Here is a 24,599-nt window from a genome sequence, read left to right as displayed (position 1 = left end):
AGAAACACAGTTCCTTTTCCTACTTATTTGGATATCATGATGGCCATTGCATGTATGTGTCTTTTTGTAAGTCCATGCCTCAGAACTGAGAAGTAGGAATAAAATTAGGGTCAGGGCTGGGGATGCTACTCTTTGCTGCTGAGAAACACAATGCTTCAGGTAAGTGATTCTGAAGTCCTTCACCACCTGACGGTAACCTTGGGTTGGTCCATAGGTATGTTTTCATTTTGCTTGTTCATCCATTTTAATTGGCTTCCTAGAGCATGCTTGTAGATGTAGAGCCAAATTTAGAGTAGAGCAACCCTCTGGCAAACAGGAAGAGATTAATTTTGTGGTATGCTTTTAAGGGACTTCCCAGGAAACTTCAAAAGCAGAAAAAGAAGCACTAGCTGCCTATTCCAAAATGTGTAAAACACCACTCAGCTTTTTAAAAGTAGGATAAACTCAGAGCGCGCGCACACGCGCGCGCGCACACACACACACACACACAGAGAGAACATCTCTAGTAAAAAGAAAAGTTGAGCTTTCTTAGCTAGATGTGTGTATTAGCCAGAAAAAGCCAAGGAGTGAAGGGTTTTAGAGAACTGGAGGAGATAAAGTGGAGTCTGCATATGGGAGGCATTTGAAATGGACTTAAATGTCTTTTTAATGCTGACTTTTTCAGTTTTCTCCTTACCAGACACATTGTTTTCATGACATTAGCCCCAGGCATAGACACATCATTAAAATGAACATGTCAAAAAATGATTTCTGTTTAGAAATAAGCAAAACATTTTCAGTTGTGACCACCCAGGTGTAGAATAAAGAACAGTGGAATTGGGAGCCCTGAGTTCTAACATAAACTTTCTTCATGACATAAGGCAAGTCTTCTATGGCCTTTGGTTTCCTTACCTGTAAAACAGGATGGCTCAATGAAATTATCTTTCTTCTTTGCTATAATAGAGTATCTCTGTGGGAAGAGGAAAAAAAAAGTCAATTTAAAGGCTCCTTATAGTTCCCCAACTGCTGTTTTATTGTGCTATTCATGCCTAGACATCACATAGCTAGAAAGGCCCATCAGACCCCTCAGGCCACTGCTGTTCCTGTCACACATTCCTGCAAAGGACCATGTTGCTAACTTGAAAAAAATTACTATTAATTACACTTGCAGTTGTTGCTTAGTAACATTTATGATTTTGTGTTTCTCGTGACAGCATGAGCAGAGATCATTAAAAATTAAACTTACAAAGCTGCTAAAGTGGGAAGAAGGAGAACTTGAAGCCACAATTTTTGCACTTGCTTAGAAGCCATCTAATCTCAGGTTTATATGCTAGATCTTGGGGGAAACACTGCATGTCTCTGGTTTATATTAAACCACATACAGCACACTACTGACACTGATTTGTGTCTGGTGCAGCTGGAGTTTATCACCAAGACATAAAAAAACCTTGACCCTGCAGAATGGCCTGGAATTACAATCAGATGGGCCACATGGCATCCCGGTGAAAGAAAGCCCTAACCAGTTTTCTGTCTTGTTTCTGCTTTCTCCCTACAGTTCCACCAGGTGAGAAGAGTGATGACCATCCTTTTCCTTACTATGGTTATTTCATACTTTGGTTGCATGAAGGCTGCCCCCATGAAAGAAGCAAACATCCGAGGACAAGGTGGCTTGGCCTACCCAGGTGTGCGGACCCATGGGACTCTGGAGAGCGTGAATGGGCCCAAGGCAGGTTCAAGAGGCTTGACATCATTGGCTGACACTTTCGAACACGTGATAGAAGAGCTGTTGGATGAGGACCAGAAAGTTCGGCCCAATGAAGAAAACAATAAGGACGCAGACTTGTACACGTCCAGGGTGATGCTCAGTAGTCAAGTGCCTTTGGAGCCTCCTCTTCTCTTTCTGCTGGAGGAATACAAAAATTACCTAGATGCTGCAAACATGTCCATGAGGGTCCGGCGCCACTCTGACCCTGCCCGCCGAGGGGAGCTGAGCGTGTGTGACAGTATTAGTGAGTGGGTAACGGCGGCAGACAAAAAGACTGCAGTGGACATGTCGGGCGGGACGGTCACAGTCCTTGAAAAGGTCCCTGTATCAAAAGGCCAACTGAAGCAATACTTCTACGAGACCAAGTGCAATCCCATGGGTTACACAAAAGAAGGCTGCAGGGGCATAGACAAAAGGCATTGGAACTCCCAGTGCCGAACTACCCAGTCGTACGTGCGGGCCCTTACCATGGATAGCAAAAAGAGAATTGGCTGGCGATTCATAAGGATAGACACTTCTTGTGTATGTACATTGACCATTAAAAGGGGAAGATAGTGGATTTATGTTGTATAGATTAGATTATATTGAGACAAAAATTATCTATTTGTATATATACATAACAGGGTAAATTATTCAGTTAAGAAAAAAATAATTTTATGAACTGCATGTATAAATGAAGTTTATACAGTACAGTGGTTCTACAATCTATTTATTGGACATGTCCATGACCAGAAGGGAAACAGTCATTTGCGCACAACTTAAAAAGTCTGCATTACATTCCTTGATAATGTTGTGGTTTGTTGCCGTTGCCAAGAACTGAAAACATAAAAAGTTAAAAAAAATAATAAATTGCATGCTGCTTTAATTGTGAATTGATAATAAACTGTCCTCTTTCAGAAAACAGAAAAAAAACACACACACACACAACAAAAATTTGAACCAAAACATTCCGTTTACATTTTAGACAGTAAGTATCTTCGTTCTTGTTAGTACTATATCTGTTTTACTGCTTTTAACTTCTGATAGCGTTGGAATTAAAACAATGTCAAGGTGCTGTTGTCATTGCTTTACTGGCTTAGGGGATGGGGGATGGGGGGTATATTTTTGTTTGTTTTGTGTTTTTTTTTCGTTTGTTTGTTTTGTTTTTTAGTTCCCACAGGGAGTAGAGATGGGGAAAGAATTCCTACAATATATATTCTGGCTGATAAAAGATACATTTGTATGTTGTGAAGATGTTTGCAATATCGATCAGATGACTAGAAAGTGAATAAAAATTAAGGCAACTGAACAAAAAAATGCTCACACTCCACATCCCGTGATGCACCTCCCAGGCCCCGCTCATTCTTTGGGCGTTGGTCAGAGTAAGCTGCTTTTGACGGAAGGACCTATGTTTGCTCAGAACACATTCTTTCCCCCCCTCCCCCTCTGGTCTCCTCTTTGTTTTGTTTTAAGGAAGAAAAATCAGTTGCGCGTTCTGAAATATTTTACCACTGCTGTGAACAAGTGAACACATTGTGTCACATCATGACACTCGTATAAGCATGGAGAACAGTGATTTTTTTTTAGAACAGAAAACAACAAAAAATAACCCCAAAATGAAGATTATTTTTTATGAGGAGTGAACATTTGGGTAAATCATGGCTAAGCTTAAAAAAAACTCATGGTGAGGCTTAACAATGTCTTGTAAGCAAAAGGTAGAGCCCTGTATCAACCCAGAAACACCTAGATCAGAACAGGAATCCACATTGCCAGTGACATGAGACTGAACAGCCAAATGGAGGCTATGTGGAGTTGGCATTGCATTTACCGGCAGTGCGGGAGGAATTTCTGAGTGGCCATCCCAAGGTCTAGGTGGAGGTGGGGCATGGTATTTGAGACATTCCAAAACGAAGGCCTCTGAAGGACCCTTCAGAGGTGGCTCTGGAATGACATGTGTCAAGCTGCTTGGACCTCGTGCTTTAAGTGCCTACATTATCTAACTGTGCTCAAGAGGTTCTCGACTGGAGGACCACACTCAAGCCGACTTATGCCCACCATCCCACCTCTGGATAATTTTGCATAAAATTGGATTAGCCTGGAGCAGGTTGGGAGCCAAATGTGGCATTTGTGATCATGAGATTGATGCAATGAGATAGAAGATGTTTGCTACCTGAACACTTATTGCTTTGAAACTAGACTTGAGGAAACCAGGGTTTATCTTTTGAGAACTTTTGGTAAGGGAAAAGGGAACAGGAAAAGAAACCCCAAACTCAGGCCGAATGATCAAGGGGACCCATAGGAAATCTTGTCCAGAGACAAGACTTCGGGAAGGTGTCTGGACATTCAGAACACCAAGACTTGAAGGTGCCTTGCTCAATGGAAGAGGCCAGGACAGAGCTGACAAAATTTTGCTCCCCAGTGAAGGCCACAGCAACCTTCTGCCCATCCTGTCTGTTCATGGAGAGGGTCCCTGCCTCACCTCTGCCATTTTGGGTTAGGAGAAGTCAAGTTGGGAGCCTGAAATAGTGGTTCTTGGAAAAATGGATCCCCAGTGAAAACTAGAGCTCTAAGCCCATTCAGCCCATTTCACACCTGAAAATGTTAGTGATCACCACTTGGACCAGCATCCTTAAGTATCAGAAAGCCCCAAGCAATTGCTGCATCTTAGTAGGGTGAGGGATAAGCAAAAGAGGATGTTCACCATAACCCAGGAATGAAGATACCATCAGCAAAGAATTTCAATTTGTTCAGTCTTTCATTTAGAGCTAGTCTTTCACAGTACCATCTGAATACCTCTTTGAAAGAAGGAAGACTTTACGTAGTGTAGATTTGTTTTGTGTTGTTTGAAAATATTATCTTTGTAATTATTTTTAATATGTAAGGAATGCTTGGAATATCTGCTGTATGTCAACTTTATGCAGCTTCCTTTTGAGGGACAAATTTAAAACAAACAACCCCCCATCACAAACTTAAAGGATTGCAAGGGCCAGATCTGTTAAGTGGTTTCATAGGAGACACATCCAGCAATTGTGTGGTCAGTGGCTCTTTTACCCAATAAGATACATCACAGTCACATGCTTGATGGTTTATGTTGACCTAAGATTTATTTTGTTAAAATCTCTCTCTGTTGTGTTCGTTCTTGTTCTGTTTTGTTTTGTTTTTTAAAGTCTTGCTGTGGTCTCTTTGTGGCAGAAGTGTTTCATGCATGGCAGCAGGCCTGTTGCTTTTTTATGGCGATTCCCATTGAAAATGTAAGTAAATGTCTGTGGCCTTGTTCTCTCTATGGTAAAGATATTATTCACCATGTAAAACAAAAAACAATATTTATTGTATTTTAGTATATTTATATAATTATGTTATTGAAAAAAATTGGCATTAAAACTTAACCGCATCAGAAGCCTATTGTAAATACAAGTTCTATTTAAGTGTACTAATTAACATATAATATATGTTTTAAATATAGAATTTTTAATGTTTTTAAATATATTTTCAAAGTACATAAAATCTGGGGGTTCTGGGTTTTTTTCTCTTTACTGTAAAACAAACATGAAAACGTGTTTTATTATAAATACGTGTGTTCCTTGCTTTAAGACTAATCTGACTAGTTTTAGTAATTAAACAGCCCTCCAGAGAGGATACTTATTTGAAAGCCTGGGAGGCCAATCCTGCAGTCTGTGAGCTTCTGAGAAGTTGTAGGATTGGATCTGTCTTCCATGGTGGAAGATGGGAGTGTCATTTTCTCGGACACTTGAAAGTTTTACCCCTTTGAAGTGATATACTTTCATCAGATACCAAACCATGTATCCTAGCAACATCAGGATCCACGAATCACGGCTGGCTGGCTGGCTCTATTTGACTATAAAATAACTGTTAAAAAAAATCAAAGTAGGTTTACTTAGGGATAATGAGAATAAATTGGCCCAAATTTAGAAAGTCAAGTACTGGGGAAAAAAGTAAAAAAAGAAATTCAATATTTGGAGACAGGTCACATATCCTCGGTTTGGAAGTGGTGCCATTTGCAGTATGTATTTGTATCCATAGCACTGATTTAATTTTTGTACGTGGAGCACACAGATTTTATATCATAGTACCCACAATCTAACAGATTGCTAGGATTTCTAAAAGGATTTGCCTCCGTGATGGCTGCCAAGCCGCTGGGTAATTTAGTTAAAGTGTTTAAAGTTATCACTAAATCTTAGGGAAATAAATGGAAGGATTTTAAATCAGAGAAGGGGCCATTAAGGAAAAAAAGCATCTGTTCTTACTCTTCAGCCTCCCCATTTGAACACTGACAACCCATCCCATAACGTGGTGAACTATATCTGTGCAATGTATCATTTCTATTTCTAAACATACACACATGGTTTCCTCTTGTATTGTCTTATAAATAAGGATCAGGAAAGTCATAACAAACATTGACTTGTGTTGTGTATATGGAAAAACAGATCGAATGAGATGAATTACTCTATCCTAATCTGTCCAGTGAACTTGAAAAGTACTCTAAGAGAAGCCCTTGACTGCCAGTCATGACAGCCCAGCCATGGACTTAGAACTTTGATAAACTTCAGGCTTGACCAATTTTCATAGTCAGAGGACTAAAATATTTTTTAAATGGTTGAGTAAAAAAAGTAAAAATTAAACATGACATCCAAATTACTTGAAGTTAAACGAGTTTGGTAAACATGACTGAAAGTTTTCATTAGAAGATGAGGTTGGAGAAAAAAACAAAATAGAGACATCTACTAAATTATCCTACTTGGAGTTAATAGGAGTAACCAATGTGTACTGCATTCATTGAGTAAGCAGTTAAACTTGTTTAATTACTAAGATGCCAGGAAATAACTCAGATCATTGCTTTGATCTGTTGTTTTTCACCATACTGATAAGCCTCTGTGGTCATTAGCTGTGTCTATGAAATCTTTTTATGAGCTGTACTAATTCAGTGAATAATAAGACAGTTCGAAATGAGAATCTGAACTAAGTCTTAGAATGGGTCAGTGTTAAATTGTTCCTCATTCATTTAAGTGACTTCTAGATCTGGATAAAATGTCAAACACTTTTTGAACTGCAACAAATGGCTTCAGGCATTGCCTCAGTTCAGCCAGCACTCCCAATAGTGTTAAGGTTTAAGGTTATTGTAAAACATACTTGTCTCCATCATGTTCTAACATCAAGCCTGGTCTACAAGTTAAAGTAGAAATGGCTGCATATTTTGATAAGCCATTGTTAAATAAAGACTGTTAATTGGGATAAGAAACAATATACGTGTACATAAATTTAGGAAGATGAAGCATTTAGCTTGCAAAAAGCCATTCACAGATTTGATCCAACCTCAGAATGTTGACCAGCAAAATTAGTATTTTATGGAACATAGGCCATCCTTTTAGCTGTGGGTTTTTAAACTGTGGTTTTAAAGGTTGGTTGGCTGCTTGGTTTGGTGACAAGCGGGGGTAATGGTTGGGAATCTGACTTTTGTTGGTTACATTGAACTAACTGGTGGTTGGTGAACTCCCCACCTAATAGCTAAACTTAGCAACTAGAGTAGGTGAAGCCACTCCAAACCAGCCCATGTTTATGGACATTCCTTCTAATAAACACACTGCCTGCATGTCTATCCCCAATCTTGTGAGTATGATCATCCATTCTCTCAATTCTGGCCACCATTTGAATTATTTGTAGGGAAAAAAAAGCAAACTCCTTGCTTTTTAATATGTGATTATTTGCAGTAAATTACTTGAAGACTATGTTTAAATATTAACAGAAAAAGCACTGTGATCTTACACATTATCATAATTGAGAAGACCCATTTCTGTGGCACTCTGTAGGATTTCCATAGGCCTTTACCTCACCCCCACACCCTAATTATTTACAAGGCACAGACCACCAGATTAGGAGCTCCCCAGCCTGGCATTTGCTTTTCTAACAACAATCCTGTGTGCTTGGTAATGTCAGTAGCATGGAATTGTAAAAAGCAGGCCTTCCAATTAAACCTCACCACACAAACAATAAACAAGACCTTTGCATTTAAGTGTGAGCTGCTATTTTATATCTGGAAAAACAAAAGTCCTTTCCTTTAGAAAAATAAGCTTATCTGTCCTGAAAAAAGCCTCACACATAATGTTGTAGTTAATGACAGGACTTGTCTCAAGCCTGTAAATGACCAAAAAGTGTTAGTTGAAATCCTGAGCTTGAGGTGTATGTTCTACATTTAGAAAGGACATAAAGATGCTTCTGCAGCTCTGCACTTTGGTACTGTACTCTATTTCAAATGGTTCCTTAGAAACCAGGGGCTGGTCTGCATAGAATGGCTGAACCCAGGGGAAATATTTTTGTCTGGCTTAAGTGCTCACAATTTGAAAAAATCCATGTCAAGTACTGCAGTACACATTTAAATTTATTTAGTGAAGCTGCATTCTCCATTGAGCCCTAACATTTAAAAAATAGTTGCTCAACTGGGATTTGGTGCATATCAGGAAGGAAAGAGGAAAAAGACATAAAATAGAAACCTTACCCAGCAGAGACCTGCTCCAACAGATACCAAGCAGTGTTTACTTGGAGATAACAGTACCCATACTCTCCTCCAGTTAGACTCATGGAATGATCTCAAAGTGTGTTCTGCAACCAGCATCTGCATCTCTGGGAACTTTTTACAAATGCAGACTCTCAGTTCCCATCCTAGACTTACTAAATAAGAAGCTCTGGGGGTAGAGTACAACAGTCTGAGTTTTAACAACCCCTCTAGGTGATTCTGTGCCCACTCAAATTTGAGGATCATTGGACTAAGGGGATTAAACAGCCTTTCACATGTTCTAGATAATAGGAAGATAGCACAACCCAAGAATTTGAAACTGTAGATCTGATCCCAATCATGTCACTACCTATTTGCTTGGCCCTGAAAACATCAAACTATCTATGTTTGCATTTCCTAAACAACACAAAAGTGATGGGTGCTCGCAGGTGGAGCAAGGCTTAGTGTTGTAAGAGAAGAGTGCACTGATGGTTTGAAAGTGAGCATGCAAATGTGAGCCAGGAAAGCTCAGTGCCCTTCATAGTCAACAATTTTTTTTTCTTTCAAAGCAACAGCAGTAGTGGATTCAGGACCCAGAGCACGTAGTCGTTTGTAACACATTTGGAACGACTGTGAGAAATGAGAAGCAACATGCAGCAAATTAATAAGGAAAAGATTATTCCATCTGGGGAGCTGGTCTCTGCACATGCCAACACAGCCCATTCTCTGTGAAATAGCGTTTTATAGGTCACAAATTAAATCAGCATCCTGAATTAATCAGCTATTAACATCCAGCTGAGGAAATCTAGGTTCACACCTCTAGAATGACCAGACTATAAATACAAAGGGCTTCCTCAGACTTTGTGGCAAAGCTTTTCTATATTGTAGGAACTGGTTTCTGGAAATGAGGACCTGAACATAGCTATTCCCATCTCTGTGTGTATGTGTATGTGTGTGTGCACACTCCTGCACATTTTACAAGGCAAATTGCATTAGAAGATTTTTCTATTTCTAGGATGGAGGGGAGGGTGTCCAAATGTATTACCCATCCATTAGGCAATACAGAAGCCTGAATTCTAACAAGCCTACCTTGGGAGCCAGGTATCTTGGTAGTTCAATCATCAGGTTGGCCAACCCTTTCCGGTATCTGAACCTCCATGCCCTCAACTGTCAGAGGAAGAGGGTGAACTTGGGGGATCTCCCAAGAGGATGGTCTTGGAGGTAAATTTCAGTTTTAATATTACAATTTCATTCTTCCTACTTCATTATTTGCCATAAAAAGAGATTAAAGAGGTTTCTGAAGCACTTAAAGGCTGGGAAGCATTCTGAGATAATTCACTGTGCATCTCCTGCCTCCCTCCATAGCTGGTGTCCTTATATCATGGTACTTGCCACAAGATTAAAAGCAGGAGGCACCTTGGGTTAGTGTGGCGGTTGGGGAGGATGTGACCAAAGGAAGGTTTCTACTTCATATGCAACTATAAAAATATTACCAACTGTCTGACAAGCAGGCAGAAAATACCTTGGGGAAGGTGCCCATATATTCCTCAAGATGCAAATTTTCTACCAGGGTCTAACCTTACTTTCAAAGCCAGGCAATGTATTTACCTTTGTTTTATGTCACTCATTCTTACTGTATTACATGGTGCCTGGCAAGGAGAGATTCCTTGTGTTTTGCCAAGTTGCAGGGTCAGGAAACTCTGCATGAAACTGCTGGATTAGCATCCTGTAGAGTCACTGTTAACAGAGCTCTTTGAATGAAATGGGTTTGCATCTCTGTTCTTTGGGGCTTTATAAATTCACCAAGGATGTACGGTTCCCAATCTGTTTCACCACCACCTCCCGAGTACTCTGGATAGTTCCTCCTCCTGAGAGGATGGCCTTGAGAACAAAAGTATCTCATAACAAATCACAGCAACACCACATTCAGCAGCAGATTTCCTCAGAGAAACAGCAGATATTTCAGAATGGTAAAGAGGTCATTCTGAGTGGAGCTTTGGCTAGCTTAGGAGACAAACCTCACTGGCATGCCAGTGTTTGAAACTCCTCATTTCAGCAATCCAACTTTGGTTTATTCCTGGCCCTGAGTCCTTTGTGCCTGAATCTCTGAGAAATCTATGTTTTTGTTCAATCCACCTCTGCTCCCACTTCATGCCCTGCTTTCCTTCCTGATGACCTCAGAGCTCTGCTTCCTCTGGGATCCAACATCTCACCACTCAGGGGGCACATAATATAGTAAAGAGTGGAGTCTGAATCCCAACTCTGCTACAAGAGCTGTGTGACTGTAGGCAAGTCACTTAACTTCTCTGTGCCTCAGTTCCTCACCTGCAAAGGACAGGTAAAAATATTCCCACTTACCTCATGGGATTTTGTGACAATTAAATGAGGTAATACATATAAAGCACTTAGGAAAGTTACAGACCCATGAGAAAGCCTCAGAAAATGTTTACAAACTCTTGGAAGTCACTCTGCTGACTGGTAATAAGCTGGGCTCATCTAGTACACACTTCAGAGACTCTTTTCTCATATTCAGACTCCTGGAAGAGATCCCATCTCATCTGTGCCATTAGCATCCAGGGTCACTTTGTCTTTTCTGGAAGACTCAGAGAGATAACTCTTGTTTACCCACTAGCAATAATACTGCTTGGCAGTTAAACTGTGGCCACTACATACACTCAAGCAAATGGAAGAGATATACTACAATAAAGGGTGTTTTTCTAGACTGTACATTCCAAATGAAGCCCATTATTCCTAAGTGTCTATCCCAGCTGAATGGCAATGACTGAAGCCAGGGTGAAATGGATGAACTCACATAGTCTGAAAGAAACAAGGGGCCACAGTCACATTTCTAAAAATAGACATGGCACATCAGGAAAATCCTACCTCAACTTCTGCCCCATGTCCTTGACATACATTTAACCCATTGCACAATTATAGTGACTAGTACTTACTATAAGCAGGCAGTGTTCAAGGCATCTTATGCAGATTTTCTCACTGCACAACAATCCATAAACTAGGTGGTAGTTTTAGTACTCCCATTTTAGAGATGAAAAAAACTAAGGCACAGAGAATTCAATTAAGTTGGCAAAGGCTGCAACACTTGTGAGTAGCAGGGCAGCCTGGATCTGGAGCCACTCTTAAACCACTGAAAAATTTAAAAGTGCAAAGGGCATTGAGAACATACAGAAGGAAAAAAAAAAAAAAGGCCGTGGTTGTGGGGAGGGGGGTGGAATAGCTAGTTACATGTCCAAGGGATTTGGCTTCCTTCAAAAAGGGAGACCACCAGTGGTGCTTAGAATTTTTAGCTTTCAGAAGAGTCCTGGATTGATCTTTTAAGGTTAACATGCAAACAGTCTTTCATTGCATGGAGGCCTTTCCAAAAGTGGATACAACCCTACTCTGTGCTGAAAAACCTGAATGTAGGGTTTCTAGAGCTTCATGTCAGCTATTTCCAATACTTGGATATGGGGCAGTTGTCACCCCTTTAACCTCATGGACAATCTGATGAGCTTCCTGTGAATTGCTGGGATTGGGCAGATAGGCAGAGTGTTGTGGAACCACTTGCAAGACCCAGGAGTGCCCAATCCTCCCTAGGTCAATACTTTACAGTTATTTTGTGTTTGGGATTGGTGGAGAAGAGAAAGGATAATGACTCAGGCCTGCTGGGTCTGCAATAGCCCTGGCCACCAGCGCCAGCCTTCTCTCCCCCATTCTTCCATGTATGGCTGACATCACTTGTAAGTCTTTGCTGCACCTCAGCCTCACAAGTCATGTCAAGGTCATGCTCCACTGCCAACTGAATTGAATTGAACCAAAAGATGAACTCAGTTTGCTATCTTGGCTTTCCCACTTTCTTAAGAACAGATCCCATTGGTGATGGGGTAGATCAGGTAGTAAAGTCAAGGTGCTGAGGACTGATGTGTCCCTTGAGTTCAGCAGAAGTTAGATGCGAAAGGGTGAAGAATGTTCTATAATGAGTATAAAGAGTTCTATCGATGGGTTTCAGACAGACGATCCATATGCAAAGAATCATATGTAAATCAAGTAAAGGGTAAGATTACCCTAGCAATTGGTTGAACACAAGGACAAGTGTTTGGCAATAGGCAATACTGTTACATCCCTATTTTGTACCAGATGCCATGCTAAATGCTTTCCATGCTATCTAAAATAATCATGAGATAGATGTAATTTGAGAGACAAGAAAACTGACAACACAGTAGCCTAAATAACTTGCCCAAGGTCATACAGTTAATAAATGATATAGTCAGATTTGAAGCCACATCTATATAATCCCAAGGTCTCGAATTTTAACCACCAGACTGGTGGCTCTCAATCCTGACCTGTACATTTGAATCACATAGGGAATTTAAAAAATATATCTATACCCAGACGAGGTAAATCAGAATCTCTGGGGGTGGGGCCCAGGCATCTGTATTTCTTTTTTTTTTTTTTTTTTTTTTGAGACGGAGTCTCGCTCTGTCGCCCAGGCCGGACTGCGGACTGCAGTGGCGCAATCTCGGCTCACTGCAAGCTCCGCTTCCCGGGTTCACGCCATTCTCCTGCCTCAGCCTCCCGAGTAGCTGGGACTACAGGCGCCCGCCACCGCGCCCGGCTAATTTTTTGTATTTTTAGTAGAGACGGTGTTTCACCTTGTTAGCCAGGATGGTCTCGATCTCCTGACCTCATGATCCACCCACCTCGGCCTCCCAAAGTGCTGGGATTACAGGCGTGAGCCACCGCGCCCGGCATCTGTATTTCTTAAAGATCTTTCCAGTGGTTTTGTTGACCAGCCAGGGTAGAACTGCTGCTCCAGATTCTTCTTCCTCTAGGTAAACAGGAGTCAGAGGTATCAGAGATTTCTGCCCATGGGACTCAGAGCCCTAACCTGGTCCCAAACTTGGGTGTGGGATTCTAATGACTGGGAATTAACAAGACAGGACGCTAGTTCTATAGGAAATTGAATACAAGTAGGACCCTAGCCATAGAAACAAGAATAATGATTTTAGATAGTAAAATCAACATTCAGAGTCAGAATGGACCCACCAGAAAGCTCAATCTAACACTGAGCTCCTGAACGAGGCTCCTTAAATTTCTTTAGATTCCCTGTGATTAGAAACAGGAGAGGCACTAATGGCTGCAGGAGGGCTGAGTCTACAGATGAGGATCTCTCATCTACAGATGAGGATCAACTGACCCAGTGGTGAGGAGAAGAGAGCTCTATGGGCTTCTCACAGGCAGGTCGTCACCTGTCCCGCCTCCAAGCAACCTGCTCTGAGCCAACAACATGTTTCCACACATTTCACACTGCTTGGCTCATTCTGCTGGACTCCAAAGGGCTTTACTAAGTTGAAGCAAAGAGAAAAAAAAACAATCCATGTTGACTGTTTGGAGTGTTTTCTCTGTTTTCAGAAGTGACTGTTAGATTAGTATTTGGTTTTATCTTCTGCATCTTCTAATATTTTTATCTCCTCCCCATCCCTACCTCAAACTGCCAAGCAGTGATTCCTGCTTGACAGTAGGAAAAAACATCTCCGAGTCTCGCAGCCCCTTCCTGGAGGGCTTGTTTTAGAAGCAGTGCAGGACATGCCCAGCTTAGCCAGGCCACGGGGCTAATCGAATTTGGCAGATGCTCTGCGTCAGCAGGCACCAGGGTGCTAATGCCCTGGGTCAGCTGGTGAGAGGGTAAGTGGGCAAATGCCTGGCTTCTTCCCCGTGTTTTCAGGACAGGAATCTGAGTCCCAGTAATCACTAGCCTATGGGACCAGAGGCTATTTTGGGCCTTCTTTTATCCAATGGAAAGTTAGGGGTGGTGACATCTGAAACTGCCAAGGAGCATCCAGTTTCACCCTTATCCAGGACATGTCCCTAGAGGAAATGGAAGCAATGTCAAGGAGACCAAAACGCGGGTGTCAGAACTTCCCTTTGTTTTTATTTCTGTGCCGTTTGTTTTCATCCATTCCTTTCACTTTCAGCTCACCTTTCCACTACTCTGGTTCAGGTCTTCATTGCATCTCGCCTGGGCTATCACAGCAGCCTTCCAACCCATCTCTCTACCCCCAATCTCTCTACCCCAACCCACTTCCAACATCCTCCCATGATAGCAGAATGATCTCTCTGAAGGTTCAATGACAATAATGAACATGAAAACACTTCGTAATACGTTACACAAATAGCAACACCTACCTATACACAAATGTACCGATGTGGCAGGAGAGACAGAAATGCTGTCTTTAATCACTGTTGACTATGCAGGTGTAAAGGCCAGTGCATTGCAAGGGAATGAAATCGATAGACTAAGAGGAATGTTTCTGGGAAATAATGGTCTAAGTTGGCACACACAGTATTGGAACCCTCAAACGAGTCAAAAAGGCATTCAAGGTGGACTTGCCTGCTTGGCAATTGTATGTCACTGTGATAAACCTGATGAGAGATGTAAGATGTAGATCTAATTATGCCTATTTTTCAGGTAACTGAGGCTGAGAGAGGCAGTAATTTGCAGAAGATCACTCAGTGAGCATATAGCAGAACTAGAATATAAATTCAGAGGACATATGCTTTTCAAGTGTGCCATATTGATACAGATACATTAATGTGGATGGATGGATGGATGGATGGATAGATGAATGGATGAATAGAGCATATGATTTCCCTCCCTTTAATATATCAAAGGGCTATCCATTGCTGACAGAGTAACAAATTGGTGATATTGGCATTATGGCCTTATAGGATGTAGCTTTATTTTCCTACTTTAATGTCCAGACAACTTCCAACACACTTGACAGTGCACTCCAACCCTACTTCTCCCTATTCCCTAAATGTACCTTACACTCTACCTCCTCTGCATCTTTGTCCATTCCCTGTCTCCCTCTCTGATTATAAAATCCCTACCCAACCATAACCCATAATAGGGCTGCCAGAAAAAACATCAAACCAAATGAATAATTGTTTAATATAAGTGTGTGCAAATACTCTATGGAACATATTTATAGTAAAAAATGATTTGTATTAATTTAAATTCAAATTTCACTGGGTGTCCTGCAATTTTAATTGTAAAATCTAGCAAACCCACACATCAGGCAGTTGCCCCATGTATACCCTCTGGTTTTCTTCTGCCATCTCAAGGTGGGATTTAGCACTTCTTCGAATTTTTCATACACAATTCACTCTCACTGAATAATGAGCAATGTGTATTTTATGGAAGACTTCTTAATAAATGTGAAAATGAAGTTTACATTCCATAATTGACATTTTATTTTTAACAGTTCTTATTAAAAATGGCCTTATGGCTGGGCATGGAGGCTCAGGCCTGTAATCTCAACACGTTGGCAGGCTGAAGCAAAATGATTGCTTGAGACCTGAAGTTTGAGAACAGCCTGGGCAACATAGCGAGACCCTGTCTCTACAAAAAAATTAAAAATATATATATATAGCTGGGTGTGGTGGCATGTGCCTGTAGTCCCAGTTACTCAGGAGGCTGAAGCGAGAGGGTCACTTGAGCCCACGAGTTTGAGGCTGCAGTGAGCTAAGATCATGCCATTACACTCCAGCCTGGGTGACAGATTGAGATCCCATCTCTAAAAGTCATTAAGTGTCCTTTTGACCATTTCCCTACACAGCATTTAGTGCTGATCACCTGCTCTCACTCTATTATGCAGAGAAGCTTTCACTTTTCAAACCTAGGCACTAGTCCACGGCTTGTTTGTATACCATGGTAGACTTATCAAAGCAAATTTTCGATTAGGCAGGTTTCTCTTAACAAATGAATTTTCTATGAATATAAAAAATGTTTCTATATGTTAAAGGTTCAATTGCATGAAGCCTTTAGCATTTTCTTGGGTAAAATAATTGCTCCCTTACTAAGCTGCAGTTATTTGTATAAACTCTTCTAGAGCAGTGGACATTTTCATTCACCTGTGTACCCACTGCAGTTCACCTAGCCATGTACCGGAAAGCAGTCAACAAGTGTCTATTAAATTGAATGAATGCAGTGTAAGGCCACATTATAAGTGTATTTAGCCCTAAGTGGCTACAACATTGTTTGCAGCAGCCAAGGAAGGGATCCCAGCAGTCAGGGAAAGCAACTTGATAGTTTAATTGAGTAATTCTCCACCCTAGTTGCACATTAGGCATCTGGGGAGTTTTAAAAAAATTATGAATTGTAGACCCCATCCTGCATCCCTGCATCAGGTAAATCAGAATCTCTGGGAGTGAAGCTCAGGCATCAATATTATTTTCAAAGCTCCCAGGTTATTTTACCAGGCAGGAAAGGTTAAAAATGATGAACAGTTGCTGGAGATTTGGACTAGTATTCTTCTCTGGGTCTAATCCATGACAGAAGAGAGAGACCAAGATAATCAGAGGGAGAAATACGGATTTCTTTTTGCTTTTCCCTGTTGTAGATGTTTTAGAGTTTACACTGTTCTTTCACATGCATGCACATCTTGCCACATCCCACCCCCACCACATAGTCTGGCCACTGAGCCTTGAGCTGTGTGTTCACTTTGTGAGTGTGAAGAACAACATGGCTACAGCCATTCTATGTAAATATGCAATCTTAGTTTTGGCTTGGTTGAGTATTGCTTCCCCAGGTTCCCAACTCCACTTTTACTGTTTTAGGTTCTGGTTTCACCAAGAATTCAGTAGCTGTGGTACTTCCCGGGTATGAGAGAATAAAGAACTTGTAAAGTGGAATTGGCCAGCTTTCCACACCCCTACCTTCACTGCACACCAACCTGCACTGACATCCAGAGGAGAACCAAGGGAATTGTTTCCTCCTGGTTTGGACACATTCCACTTGAAGCTCCTCCAGGCATTGTGAAGCAGAATTCCCTTCAGTATATGTGACTGCAAAGAGATGAATTTTTGAACTGGAGACTTTGAAAATAAGGATGAGCATGTACAGAGTGAAAACATGGGCCTCGAGTCAGCAGATTGAAATCCCTGACCTTGCTCTGTACGTCTCTAGCCACATAAGCTAAGCAGGTCTCCCCTCACTTCTTTCAGCTTTGGTCTTCTCCTCTGCAAAAGGAGTTTCTTCACCCATTTGTATTGTTTTAACAGAATTGCTGAGACTGGGTAATTTATAAAGAATGGAAATTTATTTCTGACTGTTCTGGAGGCTGGGAGGTCCAAGATCATGGCACCAGCAGGTTCAGCTGTCTGGTGAGGGCTGCTCTCTGTTTACAAGATGGCACCTTGATGCTGCATTTTTCAGATGGGAGGACACTGTGTTCTCACATCGAAGAAGGGATGGGAGAGTGAAAATGGGCCAAACTCTCATCAAGCCCTTTTATAGTGGCATTAATCTGTTTACCTAAACATCTCCCAAAAAGGCCCCACCTCCCAACACTGTTGCACGGGGAATTCTTTTCAACACATGAATTTTGGAGGGACCATTTAGACCATAGCCAGGACGATGCAGAATTTGAGGATCTTAAGGTTCCCTCCAGCTCTAAATACTTCATAGATTCTAAGTCCTGCAGCAGTACATGAGAAGTCTATTGAGACTCCCTAAACCATTCTCAAGAAGGTAAAGGCCCAGAGCCCTGCCTACACATGTGCTCAGATGATGCACTGAAATGAGCACTAGAAAGGAGCCAGAAAACAAGTCCAAGTCCCACTTCTGCCTTGAACTCACTCTGTGTTTTTGAAAAAGTCATGTTCTTTCTCTGAGCCTTCATTGTCTCAGCTGTAAGATGAATGTTAGAATAGATCATCTCTACTGTTCATTTCAACTCTGCCATTCTAGGGATGTTGGATGTCCTAGTGGCTGAGGGTTCATATTACAATAAATATGAAATTGAAACATAAAACAGCACTCAAAACATGAAGGAGAAATTGGGATTAAGAAATGAGAAAATACCTTTTGTCTAAGAGAGAGGAGTGAACCAAACACAAATGCAAGCGGACGGAAGGAAGGGAGAGGGGGAGGGAAGGAGGGGAACAATTCACAAATAAAATTTAAATTCTGGATCTATTTTATCCAATCAAGGAAAAATACCTATAATTGCATTTTAACTTAAATATAAAAATTATATCACATTTCAGAAAAAATGCTTCAACTCTTCAAATGAACAAGTATGTTGTTTGCAAAATCAACTTTTTTTTCTGTAAAACCTATGTGGCTTTTTCAGAAGAGAACTAACTAGGTTAATAAGCCCATATTCCGCCAATTCTTACTGACAAATAATCACCATGTCTCAAAGTCTTAGGTCTTATTTTTTCCTTTTTCCCATTTGGTCTTTTCGCCCATTTGTCTTTTAAAAAGCTATTTAAGGACCTTCAATTTTAGATGCACACTCTTTAGCTTGGTACTTGAGGCCCCTTGTGATCTGACTTCACCTAGGGAGGGTTGCAGGCCTCACCTTTCCCTGCTCTCCTGCACATATCCCAGGGTCCACTTTTATTGAACCATCTATTGCCTGTTTCCAAACTATACCTCACCCCTCTCATCCCTGGTTTTTTGTTTGTCCTTTCTCACTCCTGCTTCTGCACAAATAAATCATTCAAGACTCAAATTCCATTTCTTCCTTAAAACTCCCTCTGATTTTCTAAGCTGGAAACAATTTCCCACAGGCCCTGTTGTGAAATCCCCATCCACATTATTTCTATCTCTCTAGTGGCACTTAGTGTTTTCAGCCCTGCAATAAGGCTTCTAGAATATGACTTTCTGGAGAGCAAGGTTTGTGTCTGAGGACAGCACACAGAACAGTGTTTATGAGGCCAGGCCTGGCTGTCAGACAGACCTGGGCTTGACTTTTGGCTCTGTTGCTGGTTGCAGGGTGACCTAAGCAGGCTACTTGACCTCTTAACTTCAGTTTACTCCTCTATAAAAGGTGAATGCTACCTACTTCATAGGCTTAGGGTGAGACCCAGGGAGATAATAAATGTAAAATAACTGTTAACTATAGCACTTATTATATGTTGGACCCTGAAAGCACCTGATATTTGTTTTTTTTCCACTGTTAAAATAACTTTATCTTGCATTTTACAGAAGTCTATGAATGATTTTTAAAAAGCACCTCCTTACCCCACATCATGTTTCTCTGACAGTTGTTAAAGTAGGCAATGAGTAGGTCAACAGCTTGAGCATCAGCATCTTGCAAAGATTTCAGACTAACCAACCACTCACGAAAGAACTTGGCAGCTTTTTTATCTTGTTTTTAATACAACGGTATATCGACTCTGATGGCAAACCTGTCCAGCCACATCTCCACAACACGCTTTGCAAAATCAGTGATTAGCAAATTAGTTAGCTTTGGCAAGGAGGTTGATATTTGTTAAATTCACAACTTCACAGAAACTATTAAGTAAGCCACACTTTATACATGAAGAACCTGACTCCCAAAGAGCTTAAGGGTCTTGCTCAAAATTAATCATTCTGCTAGTAAGTAGCTAGTCTGGCTCCATAATCCATGGTCTTGTCCACTGGGCTATATTGATTCTATTCTCTTGATTGTTATTTATTTATTCATTTATTGAGATGGAGTCTCACTCTGTTGCCCAGGCTGGAGTGCAATGGTGCGATCTTGGCTCATTGCAACCTCTGCCTCCCGGATTCAAGCGTTTCTCATGCCTTAGCCTCCTGAGTAGCTGGGATTGCAAGTGTGTGCCACCATGCCCACTTAATTTTTGCATTTTCAGTAGCGATGGGGTTTCACCATGTTGGTCAAGCTGGTCTTGAACTCCCGACCTCCAGTGATACACCCCACTCGGCCTCTCAAAGTGCTGGGATTACAGGCATGAGCCACTGTACGCAGCCTGATTGTTATTTATTTTTATCTGTGAGTAATTCACATTTATTTTCTTATAGAATCTAGCACACCATTGGCATGAAGTAGATGCTCAAGAAATAATTATTTGAAGTGACTCGAAGAAACTCACCTGGTTAGATGAATTTGTGCTGTTGTAAGATTAGCCACTTGAATGACATGTTTGTAGGGAGCCAACAAACAACTGGTGAGCCTGGGGGGCTCTTCTGGTTTCCCTCCTTGGGCTCATCTCTACAGCTTCCTTAAGTGAGCCTAAGATACATTGCTCTAGCCCTGGAAAGAAAAGATTTCATTTTAAAAATTGTTCTTTTTCCAAGGAAATGTCAACAATACTAAACACACCCACATATTTCAGAGAACGAATAATGACAGAAAAAAGATTACTATTTTGCTGTGTGACCTTAGGCCAGTCATTTTGTGTCCGTTAGACGTAGTCTCCTCGTCTGTACAATGGCAGGGCTGAACATAATGATCTTTAAGCTTCAGCCTTTTGTGATTCCAGGTTGTTATATGTTTTTTTCTTCTTTTGATATCTCAACATATGTCTTAAGGCACACAGGATGCAGAAATGTAGAAATTTGATTTATATAGGCTATATTTGCACAATGCAAAGAACAAAACAGAAATAGAAGCATTTTTGCTCATAGAGTTATTATTTCCACAACTACTCATAAATTTGCACAGTATTAGTAGTAACAGCACCTCCTGTAAATTTAAAATACTTTTGCATTTATACAGGCTTTTAGAGATTTTTCAAAGCCTTTCACTCCATTGTTAAGAGGTCTCCAGACTGTTGAAAAACATCCCAACAAAAACATGAAAGACAGATGCATAGAAAGCTTGAATGTTATCTGTACATCTAGCGTTTATTAAACATCCATTATTTCTAAGTTCTGTAAAGAAACTTGAAAGACACACCCTAGACTCAAAACTCCTGCCACTTAAAAAGTAAGACATGCAAACATATGCAGCTACAAATTAAGAGTATGAAAATACTGTGCAAACAATGGCCTTCCCGAAACCGCTTTTGCAAAATGATAACTAAGGAAATTATGACAGTGAAAGATATCAGACATAACCAACTCCATCTTGCTTCCAACCTCTAAACTGTCCTTGTCCATTCCTGGGCGTAGGCTGAACTAACCTTGGGAAGGAATTTAGTTTATAGTTTAAATAATAGCCCTTCCCCAAAACTAAACTGTTCTTATAAAATGAAGGAAAGGCCACCAGCCACCAAGTTAGAATGAGAGGGGCTGGAATTCTAGATATTACCAGCCATTATTCCGGAGGTCATAAGATTTGCAACTTCCCCAGTTACTCTTAAAGGTAACATCAGCCTTTTGAGATGTCTTTTCAGGTTTCTGTATTTCTACCAACTGGACGGCCCCACCTGGACCTGCCAACCAGTTCTGTGGTCTCCACCCAGGAACTGACTCAGCATAAGAGAAGAGCTTTGACTCCCTGTTATTTCATCCCTGAGCCAACCAATCAGCACTCCTGATTCACTGGCCCCCTACCCACCAAATTATCCTTGAAAACTCTGATCCCCGAGTTTTTGGGGAGACTGATTTGAGTAATAATAAAACTCCAGTCTCCTGCACAGCTGGCTCTGGCTGAATTACTCTTTCTCTATTGCAATTCCCCTGTCTTAATAAATCAGCTCTGTCTAAGCAGTGGGCAAGGTGAATCCATTGGGTGGTTACAAATTTCGAGGCTCATCCAGGATTGCCCTTGTGGCTACCTGCCCGTGGTTCAGTAGCCCCCTCCAGCAATGGATCCAGGGGCCAGCCCAAGCAGCCACCTAGTTCACTTGGACTGGGAGTTGACTCTGGTACTCTCTCTACTGACAGGGCACTCCCGACCCAATGGGCATGGATTTAATAGAGAAACAGTCCTGGGGAGACGTCCCATAACTGTAGCCCTATCACAGGGTGTCTGTCTATAGCCCCATTGTAGGGTGTCTGGGTTGGTGAGTATCCTAGGTGCTGCCAATGTCTCCTTCCTTTTCGCAACTAGTTCTGTAGCTCCATTGTGAGGTGTCTGTAGCTACAACATGGGGTGTCTGTCTTGGTTTGGCTCCTGGGGGGTCTCGGTTGGCTCTGCCTAACTAGTAAAAAGAGTCTTGGTTCGGGAGACTTCTCCTCAATCAAGAAGATTTCAGGGAGATTTCTCAAACAGAGAATAGGAGGATAGTTTGGAAGAGATACTCTGGAATTCTTGGTTAGGAATCTTGATTTGGAAAGCCTTCTGTCTGTCTTGTCTATATGTGTGTATTTGTATATGTGGAGGAGATCTCTGAAGGAATTGCTGATGGAAGTCTAGCAGGCCTAACTCAGAGAACTCTCCTTATCTATCTGGTCACATTCAGTGAGTCCTGAAAGAAGTTTAACAGCCCTGGATCGGGTTTGTGACTGCTCTTCATCTTGCCCAGAGATCACCCATTGAATTCCCAGATGGAGGTCACCATTCCCCACTTTGTGTAGATCAAAGACAACAGGGACCAACGGGAAAAAGTTCGAGTCTTGCCAGGTCGATGTTGGGTGCTGAACAAGGTGACCAATGTCTGTAGCGTTATGTGTATTTTGCTTCCACTGGAATGGAAAATGTTAATTTGGTTCCCCATGTAGCCCATCAGGCAGCATCTTGCAACATTGAGAAGCTTTTGCCTATGGTTCCATAAAACAGAAAAGGATCATTTTCTTTTGTAATGGGGCTTGGTCCCCTCACGTCTATGGCACGGTGAACAGGGCCATCAAATGCTGCTCCATTCTTCTAGAAGCTGCAGAGAAAGGGGACCCAGAAACCTGATATGCTGGCACAAAGGGCAAGAATTCTTACCAGAAAAGTGTCTGGCCTCTCTCTCTCTCTTTCTCTCTGTCTCTCTGCATTGTGTGTCTGTGTGAGTGTGTGTGTGTGTGTGTTGGAGGGGGGCAGTGGTAAGCAATAAATGTCACTGTGTGTCTCTGCAAAGGTTTGATGAATAGTAAAAAAGGATTTGTGAGACTAGTCTTAGGCTGTGGCAAATCTGGTGCACTTTGTACTAAGAATTTGTCCTTCCGTAATGGAGAGAAGGGTGTCACAGGATAGAACATGAGTTTAGGACCCCTGTAATCCTGCTTTTCAAGCCAACCCGGCAGGCTGGTCAGTTATAAACTTTGTTGTGGGTCCCTGAAACCAATACCAGATGAAATTTCTGTCTTGTTTTGTGTCTTTAAGAGCTTAACTTTGTGACCATGTAGAGGTACTTCATCCTGGTCTCCACCATCCAGAGGACAGGAATTTGGGGGTTCATATCACAGCCCTAAGAATTATCTTGAGCACTTAAAAGCCTTTGCAAGCTTCAGATCAGCTGCTGTAGACTTCTTCGGGGGAGAGCAGTAGAAACTGCTCAATGCTGTGTAGCTCAGTAGCTAAGGTTTTTATCTCTTGACAATGGTGGCCCAGGTTCAATTCTTGGCTTACAGAATGATTCCTTTCTGGTTTGTTATTTGTGGAACTTTGCCATTTATTGAGGTTTTTTTTTTTTCACCCCATAGATAGCTTCTGATTTCCTGTCTTGAATTTTCCTTTCACTGTACTACCTTTGGGGATATTCTAAATCTTGTTTTTAAAAAAAAAAAGCTGCTTACCATCTCTTTAAAACACCTTTTGTATCCATGGTTAAGTTATAACCTTAATTAAAACTTACTAATTTCATGTGGGCGGTTACCTGGGGTAGAATTCAAAGGCCAGAAATATTGGCTGTCCTGACTAGAGTCTGGTAATAAGAGATTTAAAAGAGATTTTCTTTAAACAAAAGAGCTCTATGGTTAAAATTTGCTTAATTAAACATGAATATCCAAGCTATATATATTTAAAAGAACTTTATCTTTTTTCTCTTTGCTCTGCATTAAGTACTCTTTCTCTATTGCAATTCCCCTGTCTTGATAAATTGGCTGTTACATTTCCAAAGCATTCTGGGAACAAGGCTATAGGACAAAAAGTCATTCTAGAATTTTTCTGCCTTAATAAGAATTGAGAGAGGAAAAAGAAAGAAACCGGTCAGGCAGGCAGTTAGGATGGGCCCTGGATTGAATTTTTAGAAACAAAAGAACAGCCTGCAGGCACAGATAAGGGAACTTACACTGGGGGACTTGCCTAAGACATGCCCACAGCTGCACAGATAAGAAAGGCTACACAGGTGACTTGCCCAGACATGCCAGCAGTGGAAAATTTCATCCCCTGACACATGCATAATAAGGGCAACAAAGCAATATGGGTAACTCAAGCTAAGGGCCCACATGCACCTTAGGAGGATGGGGTGGAGCTACCAGAAAAACATGCCTTATGCAAACAAAATGCCCAGCCCTCATCAGTTTCCTATAAAAGCCTTTGCATTCAACTGTGAAAAACAGCAATCCTCTTCCAGGTCCCCTTTCTGCAACAGAGAGCTTTCTTCATTCACTTATTAAACTTTCACTCCGACCTCACCCTTTGGGTCCATACTCCTTAATTCTCTTGGTCTTGGGTGATACCTCACAAGGAGAGACTGCTACATTGTGGTGCATTGGTGAGACTGTAACAGACTCCTTTCCAAGTGTTTGGTGTCTGAGTTTTC

General features: G+C 41.4%; 1 protein-coding gene and 1 long non-coding RNA gene across 22 annotated transcripts in view, besides 1 other annotated feature; one reads left to right on the top strand and one right to left on the bottom strand.

The window, feature by feature from the left end:
* BDNF (brain derived neurotrophic factor) overlaps positions 1-5,227 on the top strand; it is a 67,138-nt gene extending 61,911 nt beyond the window's left edge. For 14 of the 17 annotated variants that reach the window (NM_170731.5, NM_001143805.1, NM_001143806.1 and 11 more), the window contains 1 exon segment: positions 1,535-5,227. In NM_170731.5, coding sequence (NP_733927.1) covers positions 1,535-2,299 — 765 coding nt within the window. In that variant the 3' untranslated portion in view covers positions 2,300-5,227. 17 annotated transcript variants of the gene reach the window in all.
* Positions 1-24,599, bottom strand: part of BDNF-AS (BDNF antisense RNA) — a 191,320-nt gene that overhangs the window by 38,052 nt on the left and 128,669 nt on the right. For all 5 annotated transcript variants that reach the window (NR_033312.1, NR_033315.1, NR_033313.1 and 2 more), the window contains 3 exons: positions 20,115-20,275; positions 1,658-1,879; positions 892-949 (listed from right to left, as the gene is read on the bottom strand). This is a non-coding gene — a long non-coding RNA (BDNF antisense RNA). The remainder of the gene's footprint in view (positions 1-891; positions 950-1,657; positions 1,880-20,114; positions 20,276-24,599) is intronic.
* Positions 24,124-24,418: an enhancer, noted in NCBI's record as "tiled region #8127; HepG2 Activating non-DNase unmatched - State 24:Quies". NCBI's record gives its function as "activates a minimal TATA promoter and a strong SV40 promoter by Sharpr-MPRA in HepG2 cells {active_cell/tissue: HepG2}" and the evidence as "EXISTENCE:reporter gene assay evidence [ECO:0000049][PMID:27701403]".

Source organism: Homo sapiens, chromosome 11 (assembly GCF_000001405.40).
Source record: "Homo sapiens chromosome 11, GRCh38.p14 Primary Assembly".
Lineage (NCBI taxonomy): Eukaryota > Metazoa > Chordata > Mammalia > Primates > Hominidae > Homo > Homo sapiens.
This window is presented reverse-complemented; position numbering and strand designations above follow the sequence as displayed.